Genomic DNA, 15,996 nt, shown 5'->3' with positions numbered 1-15,996 from the left:
CCACCAAACCGGGCCTGAATCTTTTTTTTTTTTTTTATGGCAGGGTCTTGGCTCTGTCACCCAGGCTGAAGTGCAGTGGTGTGATCATGGCTCACAGCAGCCTTGAATTCCTGAGCTCAATCGATCCTCCCACCTCAGCCTCCCAAAATGCTGTGATTACAGGTGCAAGCCACTAGACCCAGCTGAATTATGGATTTTTAAGGCTGCTTTATGTCACATTACTAACAAGGATATTTTCTTAACAGCATGGATTGAGTAGGAAGGGTAGAGGGAGATGGCAGTGAAAAAAGGAACTTGATTGCTTCTGTTTGAAATAACTATCTGATTAAAACAACAGCAACAATAACAACACCAACAAAGAGGAAAATATACTCTACCACCAAAAAAAAAAATAAAACACAACAATTTTCACTTTGGATGGACCATTTCCTTTGAAATGAAAAGAAAAAATGAAGCAGTTACACCATGGGTGTCCCTAGCACAAGATGTATCCAACCTATAACTTCTGATTACTCAGAAATTCACAGAAAGTAAATTCAGATAGGATTAAGAAAGCCCCTAGGGACTAACAAGTGGAAGAATATTTATTTGTTTGCACCAAATAGTTGACTGAATACTGAATAACTATTAGCTTAAATTGCAATAAACTCAGTTATTTAACTGAGATCTAACAGTTTGCATTTTTCTTTTTTTTCTCCTAAGCAGCCTCTGAATAACATCTCTAGAGTATCTCACGAACAGAATGACTATGATCTTCATAACTGAATAGCAGCTAGCAGGATTGTTCAGCAATTTTCTAATTTTTTTTTGTTTGTTTTCTAAGATGACACTTGTTAGAATTTAGGAATAGACACTCACAGAGATATTTTTCCCCTTTTGGAAAAGAGTAAAGGGTTGCGTTATCTAGAAACATGCATGTATTTTATGATGAAGGGATAAAGTTTGAAACAGAAGACCAGGTTCTGACTCAGAATTTTGTTTCCTAATCACTGGTTAATCTCCACCTGCTCCTTTTTCCACATCCTTTGGTAGCAAATATGTTGATATTAAGGTTTATCAAGTTACATCAATTGACACATTTAATTTTGTTTTCTGTTGTTTCATGTAGACTATCCCATTAGAGAATACATTTGTAGCCAGAAAACCACCTTGGACTTTTAGGGAGCAATTCCTCCCTAAAAGGGGAGCGATGGTCAGGGCCTTCTGGAATTACTCCTACAAGAACAGGAGCAGGGAAAGAGGATATATTTTGGAGAGGAAGTGGGATATAAAGAGGATATTAGTGCACAAGGATTTAGGATATTAGCTTAAGTAGAGTAAGGACAGAGTTAACAACCCCAATGGGATGAAATGGCTATAATTATTTCTTTGTGTTTCTAGGTATATCTGGAGAAATCATTTGTAATATTAATCTAGAATTGTTTTCTCCCTGAATCTCTGATTCTCTTCCTCTCATTCAACTCAGGGATCTCTTCCTCTCATTCAACTCAGGGAAGGGGTGTTAAAAAGCAGAAAGAACAAATGGCACTCCAATATTTCTGGCTTTTTATTAGTTAGTTTATCTGTCCTTTAAAAGCCCCACAGAAAAGAGAGAATTGGCAGGCTGGACAGAGTATCTTGGCCAGAAGCAGTAGGGAGAGCTGGACTAAAGCCTGTAAGACTAGAGAGATGTGTCTCCACTTGCAAGGAGAAAGCAAGATAGTTTGTAAAAGTCCCTGTGTGGTAGAGACCAAGGCCTCAGTCAACAGAAGTAAGGTTGAGTGTTGGAAAACCCCTGAGAGGAAATGACTGTATGGGGTATTTGAGAAGATGGTTTCCATGGACAAACTCAGAGAAAGGTTTTATGTCCCAAGTGTGCCTGGCAGGAGTGAGCCAGCATGCCAGAGGGGCCGTGTGGAGAAAGACAGAGGGTGTCTCAGTAGCTGTCTGTGTGTGGACAGATGCTTAAGGATAAGAGAGATCCCACTCCTTAATCCCAAGGCACTCTCTGAGAACCCACTAAGGGACAGAAAATCATGAATGGGACTGAGTTTAAGTTTCCCACTAGTCATGCGAGAAAGGCGGCTCTTACAACAAAAAATAAAGTTTTATAATGTAAAGACTGTAGATTTCTTGCTCACCTGAATTTGTGGGCTGAGATTCATACCTGTAAATAGAGTTAAAAAGAACAACCAGTGTGATATTGACATGATGGCTCAAGAGATGGGGATAAGAAGCAAAGGAAGGGAAGGAAAAAGAGCACTACTCATACGAAGTGACAGGTGCTTGAACCATTCTGTCCTGCTGCCTGGAACTAAGAACACCCTGAGTTGACTGTGTAGGAGACTGAAAGGACTGAGCACTTACTGCTTCAGTGTGCTTCCTTGAAGAACAGCTGGAAAGCATCTAGAGCAGTGAGATGACCATAGCAGGAGACCAATATTGACTAATAGACTGTGGGGCCACATTCCATTGTCCACCATGCTGCAACAAGACCCAATGGAAGTGCTTACTTGAGATACTGGGTCTTTGCAGGCTTGAGTGTGGAAGTTTGTAAGGTTCTTGTTTTGGTTTGTGAAACCCTCATGATTATGAACAGTCCAGAGGAGTGAAGAGCCTGAAGAAGGAGAAACTGGACTTCTTGCTTATAAGGCAGGTAGATCTGTTCCACATTGCAGTGCTGGTTCTCTGAATAGCAGGGCATTTATTTAGGCCAGTTGGTCTTTAATTATTTAATATAGCAGATACATAGTCAGTTCAGGTTGAGGATATCTGATTTATTGGGCAAAGTAGATTTTTAAGAGGGCTAGGTTGGAGTTCCACACTCCAACTTTTAGGAATCATGTAATTTCTGGCATGATCTTTCTGACTGTTTCCTGATTTGTCAAATGGAGATTACTGCATTGCATAGTGATACAAAGGTGGAACCATGAGTACAAGTTGAAATCTTAATCTCCAAGGAAGTATTATGGAAGTACAGGAGGAATCATTAATTCTTCCTCAGAAATGGAATCAGAGTGACTTTTGACATTGGGCTTAAAGATTGAGTAGAATTTCACTGGAACAACAACAATGAGAGTTCCTACACAAGTAACAGTTTATGTACAACAATAGTGTATACGTGAGGCTGTGTGGTATGTGCATAAAATCAGTCCTGCATCAATGCCTACCCATGTCATTCTGGCATTCTGCTAGAATCACCTGTAACTCTCTACCTGAGACTTTCTTTTTATTGGGCAGGCTGGAAATGGTAAGTGATGAATGTATGCAGTAGCAGTTCTTGGCCAGTGACAAATGGATTGGAGAATACACACTCTACCTTCCTTGCCCTTGGAGGCAGGAGGGGTTGGGGTTGGATAATAAGGAAGAGTGTTCCTCATTATCTTTTAGGACTCCCCAATGAGATTGAACTCAGTTGCCCTACCTCTAACACCTGCTTGACAAGGCACAAATTATTGGTTCTCTTTCCTTCTCTTTATCTCTCTCCAGACATTTGTTGTTTCCCGGGATCATTTCCCAAATAATATAGCACCGGTACTCAAATCTTTGTCTCAGAATCTGCTTCTGGGGAAACCAACTTAAGACAGAGACATTTGTTGTTCATATAAGGCACAAGGAGAGTCTAGGCAAGAGCTGGTCGGGGAGCTGTTATTTAAAGGTAGTAGTGAAGTCCAGTAGGACATGCTGAGCATTTAGATAATACAGAAAATCGGGAGCCATTAAAAATCTAAACAGAGGGGAAACTGGGAGGAAAGCAAAAGCATATCCACTTTTTAGAAAGCAAGCACAACTAGCTTTATAATGAAATAGGTTGGAGAAGGTAGAGAAGGCATTCTATTGGTGACAATGAAAGAGACAAAAGTAATATTTTGATGAGTAATAATGAAAGCTAAATTTGTGTAGTAATAGAGAATTCGCAGAGAATCTGTAGGACTAGGCAAATAATAGGGTAAGAATTTCAAAGGGAGGAGAGTGTACAGCCATTGATGAAGCCAACATTTTTGACCTTAACAAATGGGTAGGTGGTGAAGCAATCAACACAGATAAGTAAGAATGGGAGAATGAAATGCTGAATTTGCAGTGCTTATGGAGGATTCAGATGGCACCATCTAAACTTGTCATTTAACAGTTGTTAAACTTATTTTGAACAGGGCAATGACTATCTGGCTAGGTCCTAGTGCTGAGAAGTCACAGTTTCTGCTCTTATGCACCTTAACTGAGTAGCGGAAATGTTGTAAATGTGATATAAATAAGAAGACTATTTACACATAGGTGTTGGTTAAAACTGCAGGAGTTGATTTTTTTATTAGTAGAGAAATATTCTACTGTATTGCTAAGGTAATGTCTGAACTTGGTGGAATTTCTTTTAATAGGCAAATAGTGCTTTGAAAGAATAGATTGCAATATTGTAGCTCTGAAAGTTTTAACATTAATTAAAAAAAAAAGAAAATGGAAAAAGAGGAAGTGCATAGTCAAAAGAATTAGAATTCCCCTGTTTAAGTTGATGTAGAATAATAAAAATCATGGGGCATTGAATGTGGCCTTATTATGTATTAATGGTCTTCTCTGCTAGTGTTAGTAGATCTTCAGTGGCAGAAAAAGTAAAAAGAAATATATTTTCTTCTCTTGATGCTATTTGCCTAGTTTGTAAATAACAATATTTGTTTGACTTCTTGGAAAGGAAACAACTGAATTGTGTTTTGAAACTCAGGGAAAAAGACTCAAAAGTATGTTCCATGCATTGCCTAATTCTTTTAAAAACAATGTTTCAATACAATTTAGTATTTCAATAATATTTTTTTCCTAAAGGAAGGTAGTACAGAATCCTGATGTGATAAGCACCTAACTTTTTCAGCTTGTTGTGTAGGTCTTGTGGGCATTTATTTGTTTAATTGAAATAATGCTATTTTTGAATCATTTAATATCATCTTGACTGCCTGGGCTTTTTGTGTCCCAGTCTAAAATAATTCAAGAGATATAGGACATCTGCCTTGTAAATTACATAATCTTTTATATCTTTTACCATTGGGCAGTAGTTTTTAAAATTATTGAAACTATCTTCAATTATTCATTTCTAATATTGCGTATACTTTAAAACCTAACTCACAACCAAATGATCTCTTTTGGGATATTTTCATCCATTGTGACAATAATACATATTTTACATTTCCTCGATTTATAATTATTGTTATTTTTTTCATTTATTTCTTTAGTCAATCAATTAATTACTTAGTAAGTATTTATAGAGCTTCTAAAGCTCAAGCCTGCCGGGGGAATCATTCACATGGGAACAAAAACTCTGATTTACCCACATTTTCAATAAATCCTTCATCAGATTGCTGGTTCCTTGCCTGTGGTGAGCAGGCGTTGCTATAATGAAGTCCCAGAACAGTTTAGACTGGCAAAGGAACACTTTTCAAAGAACCTCGTGGGGCTTCACACTCAGCAGCTGGGGGAACTTGTAGGAATTGAGACCTTGGTAGATTTGTCTATTCTCTGCGTTGCTGTTTCTTCTACGAGGATAAAAATCTAAACCTTACTCACGTTAAAGAGATTCGTGTCTTTCTTTTTTTTTTGAGTTGGAGTCTCACTCTGTCACCCAGTCTGGAGTGCAGTGGCATGATCTTGGCTCACTGCAACCTCTGCCTCCTGGGTTCAAGCAATTCTCCTGCCTCAGCCTCCCCAGTAGCTGGGAGTACAGGTGCCTGTCACCATGCCCAGCTATTTTTTTTTTTGTATTTTTAGTAGAGACGGGGTTTCACTGTGTTAGCCAGGATGGTCTCGATCTCCTGACCTCATGATCTGCCCGCCTCAGCCTCCTGAAGTGTTGGGATTATAGGTGTGGGCCACCGCGCCCAGCTGAGATTCATATCTTTTATCTCGTGGTGCCTTTCTCAGAATCACATCCTCATCAGCCACTTGACAACACATGCTCAGGTTTTGCCAAAACACCATGTAAGTACTGGAAATACAATAGTATGGCAGACTGCAATAACCTCTCAGGAGCCAGGAGCATGCAAGATTGCGGTGCTTCTCCCTCTTTTGGTGTCAGGACCTCTTTATAGTCTTAAGATATCATTGAAGACCCCAAACAACTTTTACTGATATGGGTTATATTCATATTTACTGTGTTGAAAAATAAAGCTAAGTACTTTTTGAAACTGTATTCGTTGCTTAATTTATTAAAACAACAATAGTAATCCCATTACAAGTTAGGCCTTTGTAGGTGAGGCATGTAGGTGATGCTGTGTCCATTTAATTCATTTATGTCATTCAACAAAAATTGAGCATTCTACTCTGTGGTTTGCATTGAACATATAACAACAATTTTATGTTGTTCTATGCACTGGGTGTACAACAACATTAACATTTAACCTATGTTTTGGTTATGTTGCAATAAAACTGTCCTGTCCTATGTGCTGATACAACAATAATGCTACTCTCTGCAAAGCATATACAACACTACTATACTATTGTATGCACTGAGTACACATCAACAATACCACCCTGTTTGCTGTACTGGGTATACAGAAATTATTGGGCAGATGCCCTCTTGAAGTCCTTACATTTGATCCTTATAGATGGATCACAGGTGAAAGTTCAAGATGCTATTTTAAGAGTGAAAATACAAGAGAATCAAATTTGACCCACCTAGACTTGAAATGAAGATACTGATTTCCACAATGTCTATGTAGTTTGAGACAAAGAAACATCCAGAAGAGATTGGAAAAAAGAGAAAGAACTGTAGAGAAATCCTTCTAACCTACGAATTAGGGAAGGTGGGTAGTTGGTGAATAAAAAAAAAAGGAAGAAGAAAAATAAAGGGAAGGAAAAGAAAGGGAAAGAAAAGAAAAGAAAGAGAAAACCACAAAACTGTGAGTGAAAAATGATAGGAAATTATAAATATACATCATAAAAAGTTTATTTTATCTTAAATACATAAATGCACATTGAAGCACATGGAGGCACTGCTTTCTATTTTATTTTTTTAAAAGATAGGGTCTCGCTCTGTTGCCTGGATTGAAGCGTACTGGCACAATCATAGCTCACAACAACCTCAAACTCCTGCGGTCAAGGGATCCTCCTGCCTCAGCCTCCCTAGTAGCTAGGATTACAGGCAAGTGACACCATGCCCAGCTCTTTCTTTTTCTGTTTTTTTCTTTTCTTTTCTATTTTTTTTCTTTTCTTTCTTATTGTAGAGAAGGGTCTTGCTATGTTGCCTGGGCCGGTCTTGAGTTCCTAAGCAATCCTCCTGCCTCAGCCTCCCAAAGTGCTGGGATAACAGGCATGAACCATCACACTCAGCCTGCTTTCTTGATATGTAGTCTGGGTATTTTGATCTGATTGTTCAGATACTTGGAGTTCCACATTGTCTGCTTTATATGAACCATGTACATCATCACTCTGATAATTTGCAGATTTGATTCTATTAAAGTAGAACAAGAATTTAGACACTTGCGAAAGCAAAAACAGTCTTGGCACAGAATTCTTCCAGATTTTTATCATTTTTTCAATTATCTTACAATTTCCTTATCTGCAACAATTCAGTAGCACCTTCTGGGGGAGTAAGAAAGGGGAAAGTCTTTCTGCTTTTATTTCTACTCCTTACAAGTGTTTCCAAAGCATTCATTTAAGTATCTGTAGAAAATACAACCTCATTTTCATTTTTTTTTTTTAACTAGCTAAAATTTAACATTTCCTTCATTTATGAATATAGGCAAGAAACCATGGTGCTATTGGCAGTACCAGTGACTTTATTCACAGTGGAAATTACAGATACATTCGTATCACGTTAGAGTTATTACAGACATCTTGAAATATCAGTCTAGACATCAGTACTTCAAAATTATGGTCGTTATTAGAACCACTACCAGATGTTGTCAATTAATGGATAACGAAGTATGTGTATTACTATTAGCTACAAATTTGTTTTATAATTTTAAAAATGTTCTGATAAAATAATTTACTACATTTGTAGTTTATTGATTTTATTTTGTACATTTAAAAATACTAATCTGTGAAGGGGTTCATAGGCTTCTACAGACTGCCAAAGAAGTCCATGGCACAAAAAGTTATGAACCCTTTATCAATGACTATTCCAAAGAATGTTGATTTTGTTCCTGGGGATGTCAGAGACTGATTTCTCCAGTGACTATAAAGTATCATTTTACAGTCACATTCATTTATCATCACATTCATTTATCAAATAATTTGATAAATACTTGGTGAGTTTCCACTGCAAGTTAGATACTGAACTGTGTCCTTGGGATACATCAGTGAACCAAACAAAAATCTCAACCTTTGTGGAGTTTACATACTGGCGGGGAAGGCAGATGATAACACAAAAGATACATAGATTATGTAATAGGTCCAAAGCTAGAAAGGAAAGGTGCCAGGAAGGCTTTTGTTGCCATTTTAAAGGTGGGGTGCCAGGAAGGATTTTGCTGCCATTTTAAATTGAGTGGTCAGAGCAGGTCTCATGTACAGACTTGCCTATATAGGTGAGCAAGCCCGGAAGTCTCCAGATGGAATTTCCCAGGCAAAGGAAACAACTCAAAGCTCAGAGGAGGGATCATGTTTACTATGTTCAAGAAATAGCCAGAAAGACTGCGTGGCTGGAGCAGAGTAGGATGAGGAAGAAAAGAAGAAGGGAAGATCAGAGAACTAATGGAGGGAGGAGGAGAGTACACAGAGGTCTTTAAAGGCCATATAAGAACTTGGACTTTTACCCTGAGGTAGGCGAAGAATTTAGACACTTGCATTTCTTTTTGGGAAAGAAATGCCGTGATCTGACTTATGTTTCAAAAGGATCACTTATGTTTCTTTGTGGGCAATAGAATGGAAGGAGGCAAGGGTGGGAATAGGAAAACAGTTATAAGACGATTGCTAAAATGTAGCAAGTCTGACGAAAGTGATAGCCATGGAGGCGGTGAGGAGTAATTGGTCTCTGAATTATGTTTAGGGTAAACACAGGAAGACTTCCTGGTGAATCGGATGTGCAGTGGGGGGAGTAATAAAGAGAGGAAACAAGGGTGACTCAAAGATTTTTGACCTAAGCACTAGAGGGGTGAATTTTTCATCTACTGAGATGGAAAGCTTTGAGCAGCTCAGATATTTGGGAGAAGATCAGGAGTCACTCTTGAAAAGTTTGAATGATCTAAATGAGAGACTTTGAATATAGTTTTGGAGTCTGAGGCAAAGGAGCATCCAGGGCTGGAGATGTAAATTTGGCAACAAAGGGCATACAGAGGGAGACTGGATGAGATCCCCAAAGGAAGGAGAGTGGATAAAAAAAGAAACTACAATCTGGGGCAAGTCAGTCCAGGACTAAGAGGTATAAGCAAAGATAAATCATTCACAAAGTTCTGAGACTAGCAACCAGTGAATTAGAAAGCCTTACAAGCCAAAAAAAAAAAAAAAAAAAAAAAGTATCAAGGAGTGGTGTCATCTCTGTCAAGGGGCGTAAAATGTGAGAGGACCAAATGTGAGCCATGAGATTTAGCAACCTGAAGTTTATCTGAGACCTCAGTAAGAGCAATTTTGTTGAGAGTTAAGACCTGATTTCAGTGGGTCTGTGAGAGAATGAGAGGAGAGGAACTGGATAGAATTAATACAGACCCCCTTTCTAAATGTTTTTCTGCAAAGGCAAAGAGAAATGGAGTCATACCTGGTAGGGAGAGAGGGTCCAGTAAAAGGTTTTATTTCTGTTTTTTCTTGTTTTTGTTGGCTTAGTTTTTTTGCTTTTTAAGATAAATGAGTAACAATCTTTTGTGCTGAGGAGGATGACTCAAAAAGTGGAAAGAGTTGACAAGGTAAGAGATGGGAGAAGACATGCAGGGATGCCCTTGAGTGGGCCGCAGGGCTTGGAATCTGGTGCACATGTGAAGAGATTGGCTCTAGAAAGACCACAGACAATTCACCTTTCAAAACAGCAAGAAAAGCACAGTGAGTACACGTGCTTGTGGGAGGGTGAGCAGGTGCAGTAGTGAGAGACTGGGGAAATTCTCTTTTAATTGTTTCACCTCTGTCAGTGAAGGAGAAAAAAAGATTGTGCATTGAGAATGAACATGAGGGAGCAGGTGCTGGAGATTTAAAAGGGAGGTGAGAAAGGACAGTTGATTGGGAAAGAGATAGAATAGTGGCTCTCAAAGGCAGTCTCCAGATCAGCAGCATTGGTATCACCTGAAGACTTGTTAGTAATGCAAAAATCTCAGGCCTTACTTCCAGCTTGATGAATCAGGAACTCTGAGGTAGGCGCAGCAGTCTGTGTCTTAGCAAGCCTTGCAGGGATTCTGATGCACGCTGAAGTTTGAGTGTCACTGGAATGGATGGTGTCTATATGATTGCTGGGTCACTCCGCCTATCCTGAATGTCAAGAACATGCCAAGTGAGACCAGCCAGTATATTGTAGCTCTTTCTCCAGCCACAACCAGGTATTTCTTATGGGATGGGCAGAGAGTTGGATGTACAGGTTTTGATCATTGGTTTATAAGAGATAAATGGATCTGAACAATTACAATAATAGAGAATGTGATGGACTGAGTTGTGCTCCCCCCAACTCATATGTTAAAGTGATAACCCTCAATACTATAGAACGTGACTGCATTTGGATGTAGGACCTTTATGGAAGCAATTAAGGTTAAATGAGGTCATTAAAGTGGGCCCTAATCCAATAGGACTGGTGTCCTTGTAAGAAGAGATTAGGAAGCAGACAGGTACAGAGGGAAGATCATATGAAGACAAAGGAAAAAAACAAGCCAGATAGAGAAGTCTCAGAAGACGCCACCTTGATCTTGGACTTCTAGCCTCTAAAAATGTGAGAAAATAAATTTCTGTTGAATAAGCCACCCAATCGGTGGTACTTTGTTAAGGCAGCCCCAGTGAATGAATACAAACATACCAGAAAAAGGTTAAAAGGTCTGACTTCACTGGGTAGATTAGTACCTTGGCCAGCCACATGCTCTAAGTCCCTCTGTGCCCTTCTGTGAAGGGGGATGATGATAATGATAGCATCTACTCAAGAGCTGATATGGTTAGGGTTTGTGTCAACACCCACATCTCCTCTTGAATTGTAATCCCCAGATGTTTAGAGAGAGACCTGGTGGGAAGTGATTGGGTTATAGATATGGTTTCCCCATGTGTTCTTGTGATAGTGAGCAAATTCTCATGAGATCTGATAGTTTTATAAATGGTAGTTTTTCCTGCACTGACATACACGCTGTCTCTTTTCTTCCACCATGGGAAGAAAGTCTTTGCTTCCTCTTCGCCTTCCGCCATGATTGTAAGTTTCCTGAAGCCTCTCCAGCTGTGCAAAACTGTGAGTCAATTAAACCTCTTTCCTTTATAAATTACCCGGTTTTGGGCAGTTCTTTACAGCAGTGCGAAAACGGACTCATACAGGAGTTATTGTGGAGATTCAGTGAGGCAATGCATGGAAAGCCTCAGCTCAGTCCTGACCCATGATAGGGCCTCAAAAATGTCGGCATGAAAATGGCCACTACCTCAAAAGAGCATATGTGCTTGGTCAGGATGGCTCTCCCTTGTGAATCCACATTTAGAGCCGAAATTGCCAAGTCCCTGGGGGAATTGAGCTCTGCAGCTGGCAATTTGAGGCATGTGTTCCTGAGCCCCATGGCAGTGACCTTTTATCCTTCTTGGGAATTGATTTCTGAAGCAGCCCTAAAGGCCACAAAGCAGGGTTGGGACTCCTGGATTGATTTTCTATGTTGACATAGCAGGCCAAGCCCTGTCTGGTTTATAAACTGATGTTGTATTATTTCTAAGTCTCTTATAAAACTGAGCCAGGAAAATCATTCTTACAGAATTATTGAGTTTTCTCTTGTGTAGTTTGGGGAGCTGTGGAGGCAGGGGATGAGGGGTAGGGAGGAGACTAAGCAATTTCTTTTCTCCTCCCAATTTTGTATTTAGCCATTTCAAAGTGTCATCACACTGAGAAAATACTTGTTAATTGGCAATATGATAGTTTCTTATATAAGACCCAATCTAGGCTAGGGATGCTATTTACTGTGATTATCACTTCCAAGTGTGGTGCTTTGTTGTATATTTCCTCCACAAGCAGTTATTTGTTGGTAATGGATTTCTGTAAGCCAAATTATATCCTCCCTTTAAGGATCATTTTGACTGTGTATCTACAACACCCTTTTCAGAAAGGGCTAATTATTATTGACAGGGATGATAGAGAGACAAATTCTTCCTGTTCTGGGCAATTGAATAACCTCTTGTCCCAGTTTACTTCGTGCAGATTTGTCATTGAACTAGCATCCTTGAATTGTGTTTAAACTACAATAAAAATAAATGTGGGAAGTCTCAGTTTATGTAAAGGGCAGTACTCCCACAATCTCAAAGCTTTTTCAAAATTCTGCAAGTGTGCTGTTTGTGGATTCCACAGACTTTGTTCATAGAGTCACTCTGTATAAAGTAACCATCTGCAAGTGCCTTTTGTCCCATTAAATCAGAGAAACAAACTGGTGGTTTATAGTTGAATCAGTTCTACATACTTAAGAGCTTGGTCTATTTACTAGAGTTTTAGTGTTTTTCATTAGTGACCTTGATTTAATAAGGATCTCAACCTAATGTCTTTATGTTTGTTCAAAATTTTTTCTAAGACAATATTGGACTTTAAATTTTATTTATGATGTTTTCTGTGCTGAGTGCTATGTTTCATGTTCACAAATCTACTCATATTTTTATATATAAAGTGAAAATTTACATTGTTTTACCCTGTCTTTCCAAAAGCTAATAGTTATTCCTATATCCTTCTATTTGTCACTGATTTGAAAGGTCTCTTTTGTTATGTGGTACTTTCTTACATATGCTAAGTAATCTATATCAGATATCTGTTTAGTTCCATGATTTGTAGGTCTGTTCTCTTATCAATACCATTCTAATTGAATGATTGGAATCTTATAGTGTATTTTCATGTATGTCAAGGATAGTCCTCATCTATTACTCTTTGTTATCAAAATATTTAATTGTTTTCTGAATGGTTTATTATTCCAAATAAAAATTTTAACATTGCAATGACAAAGACAATACTCTTTAAGTATGAAATTTAGCAGGTAATGGAAAGATATCTGATAAAAGGTAATAGCTGTCTTGATTTTTCAGTCACACCTTCAAATCAAACACTGTTAATAATTTGGTGAGTGTACTGCCAGATCTTTTTCTATACATTTGCATATACTTGTTTCCAAAGTAGCTTGTGGTTTTGTTTTTACATGAATTACCGTAATGCACGTACTAATATTTTCAACCTGTAACTACTGAGCACCCACATGTACAGGCACCAAGACACATTGGTCACCAAAGGAAGCAAAAACTACTGGGCTTGTGAAGTTTCCATTCCAGTGGAGAAAAGCAGATGATGAGCAATAAGCATCACATATCAAATCATGTAACATCTTAGAAGATGGCAATGCGGTGAAATTGCACAGCAGAGGAAGAGGGGTGAGAAGTTTGTGTGTGTGGTGAGGAGTGCCGCAATTTTAAATAAGATGGCCAGGCAAGCTTCACTGAGAGTATTTGGGCAAAGACTTGTAGATGTTCCAAACTTAGTTTAACACTAAACATATGGAAGACTTTTCTTACCAGCATATGAAGAGATCTTCATTCTTTTAATTGCTCTTTAATATTCTATGGCACTTTAATGCTTTTTTCTTGGAAACTAAGAATACAGGAAATTTTTAAAACATGATGAACAACATATATTTACTAAACATAGAAATATGTTACTTAAGCTAAGAATATACATTATTTTTAACATTAATGAAATATCTGAAATAATTTACTAGACATTAGTCATTAATCATCATCTCAAGAAATTAAAAACAAAATACCAAATGGATATAATTCAGACTATATCATTAAACTACATGCGTAAATTTAGAAAAGAACAATGAATTAATAGCCAATTAAATCCATTTACCATAGAAATTAAAAAATGCATAACAGTGACAATAAACAGAGAATCAAAATTGGTGTTAGAAACTTTTTAAAAACAAACAGTGAGAATATTAACCATCAATCCCTCCGAGATACAATAAAAGCAATATTCAGAGTTAATTTCACAATCCCCAAAATGCTTAATTGAAAACAACATAGTTTAATATAAAGTATTGTACTCTAAATCAAGGAAAATAATAAGTAAAATGCAAGTAAATCAGAATTTGCAAAGAAAAAATTATGAATTAAACAACATTGAAAAGTATCTGGTAATCTGTACCAATCTACTTTGTAAGTTAGTTGAAGAAAGAAGATAAGGGGATATAATTACAAATAAAGAGAACTTTTTAAAAATAAAAAGAATAACATATATCATTTTTATCATATATGTAATCATTATACATGTAACGAAATATATGTAAAATAGCATATACATTTTAAAAAAATCTAGAATCCAGATGAAATGCATAGTTTCTAGAAAACTGTAAATTACTAACATTGACTCAAGAAAAGTAGATAACCTAAATAGACCAATTACAATACAAGAAACAAAATATAGTTAAAATATTCCCTTAAAGAAACATTAAAAAATTTAGTTTTATGGTGGCTGATTAAAATGACCATTTCTTATTTTTTTCTTTCAATTATTATTAAAAACTAACCAGAAAAATAAAAAGCAAAAAAGTTAAATTTTTGGTTGAAACCAGCAGACTACTTAAATCTCTGAATTGCAAAATAAGAAGCGAGCACCCCAAATCAGTCAAGGTGAAACAGGTGTGAGTGGAGAGAGACACTGGAAAAAAATGGTCATAACTTCAGAGCTCAGAAAATGTTGGCAAAGCATTCCTTTCTAACTTAAGTGGCACAACCTATTGCAAAACGGCACGTTTTTCTTTACAACAGGACCAAGGTCTAGGGACTCTTAGTGGGAAATTCCCTGAGTCTGATTCTGAGGAGAAATAGAGAGGGAAATCTTTATGGGCCATGTTCACAGATGAGCTGCATTTGCAGGTAGAGTATCAGTGAGGTAGAGGACATAAGGAAATTTCACATTGTGAGCAGCTCTGCAGAATTGATTTTGGTAGACTGGGGCGAAGTAAAATTGAAATAACATATATAATTCTGTCTTTTTAGACTTGAACATGTCTCTGTTCCCCTGCCACATTTTCTGGAAAGAGCTGGTCAAGGATTTTTAGTCAAATGAAAAAGGTATATTCTTAAAAACAACAAAAACTAGCATAGTATGTATTGTCATTTTTAAAGAGAACATAAAAACCAAATGGCAGTTACAGAATAATCTCTGGAAAACAAACCCGTTTTTCACAGAACAATAAAAGTTGTTCCTAAATGTATCAATGAAATTAAAATAAGACTTAAAGCAACTGCTTTCATAAAATAAAAGCACAAAAAATTCATGTAAGAGTTCAGGAAAGATATGAGAAGACTACGGAAAGAAATATGAGCTTGTAGAGTTTAGAAAAGTGGTGGATGATTCAAATGTATTTGAAAATATAATTCAAGAGGACTTATTTATAAAAGGAGATCTAAGTCTATATATTTAAAGGACATATTCTGTTAACACTACTGGACTTGAAATATAATAAAGGACTCCTCAAGCAGGCAAAAGGTTAAAGACCCTTCTAGGGGAAGAAAAATCAGGTCATCCTTATTAGCTCTACATTAATATAAAATGCTAGAGTCTTTTGAAGCAATAACCACAACCTGTAAAGAATGTGATCCCTAAATTTTCTACCCAGATAAACTGTAAGTCAAGTAAAAAGCAGTTGAAACTGTAAGGGAATACTACTTTTGCTTTTCAGATTGGCAAAGATCAACAAGTTTGATAATACACTATGTTGGCAAGAATATGGGGACACAGGTCAGGTGCAGTGGCTCATGCCTGAAATCCCAGCACTTTTGGAGCTGAGGCAGGCGGATCACCTGAGGTCAGGAGTTTGAGACCAGCCTGACCAACATGGTGAAACCCCGTGTCTACTAAAAATACGAAAATTGGCCGGGCGTGGTGGCAGGTGCCTGTAATCCAGCTACTGGGGA

The sequence above is a fragment of the Homo sapiens genome, chromosome 7 (genome assembly GCF_000001405.40).
Source record: "Homo sapiens chromosome 7, GRCh38.p14 Primary Assembly".
NCBI lineage: Eukaryota > Metazoa > Chordata > Mammalia > Primates > Hominidae > Homo > Homo sapiens.
Note: the sequence above shows the minus strand (reverse complement) of the source record.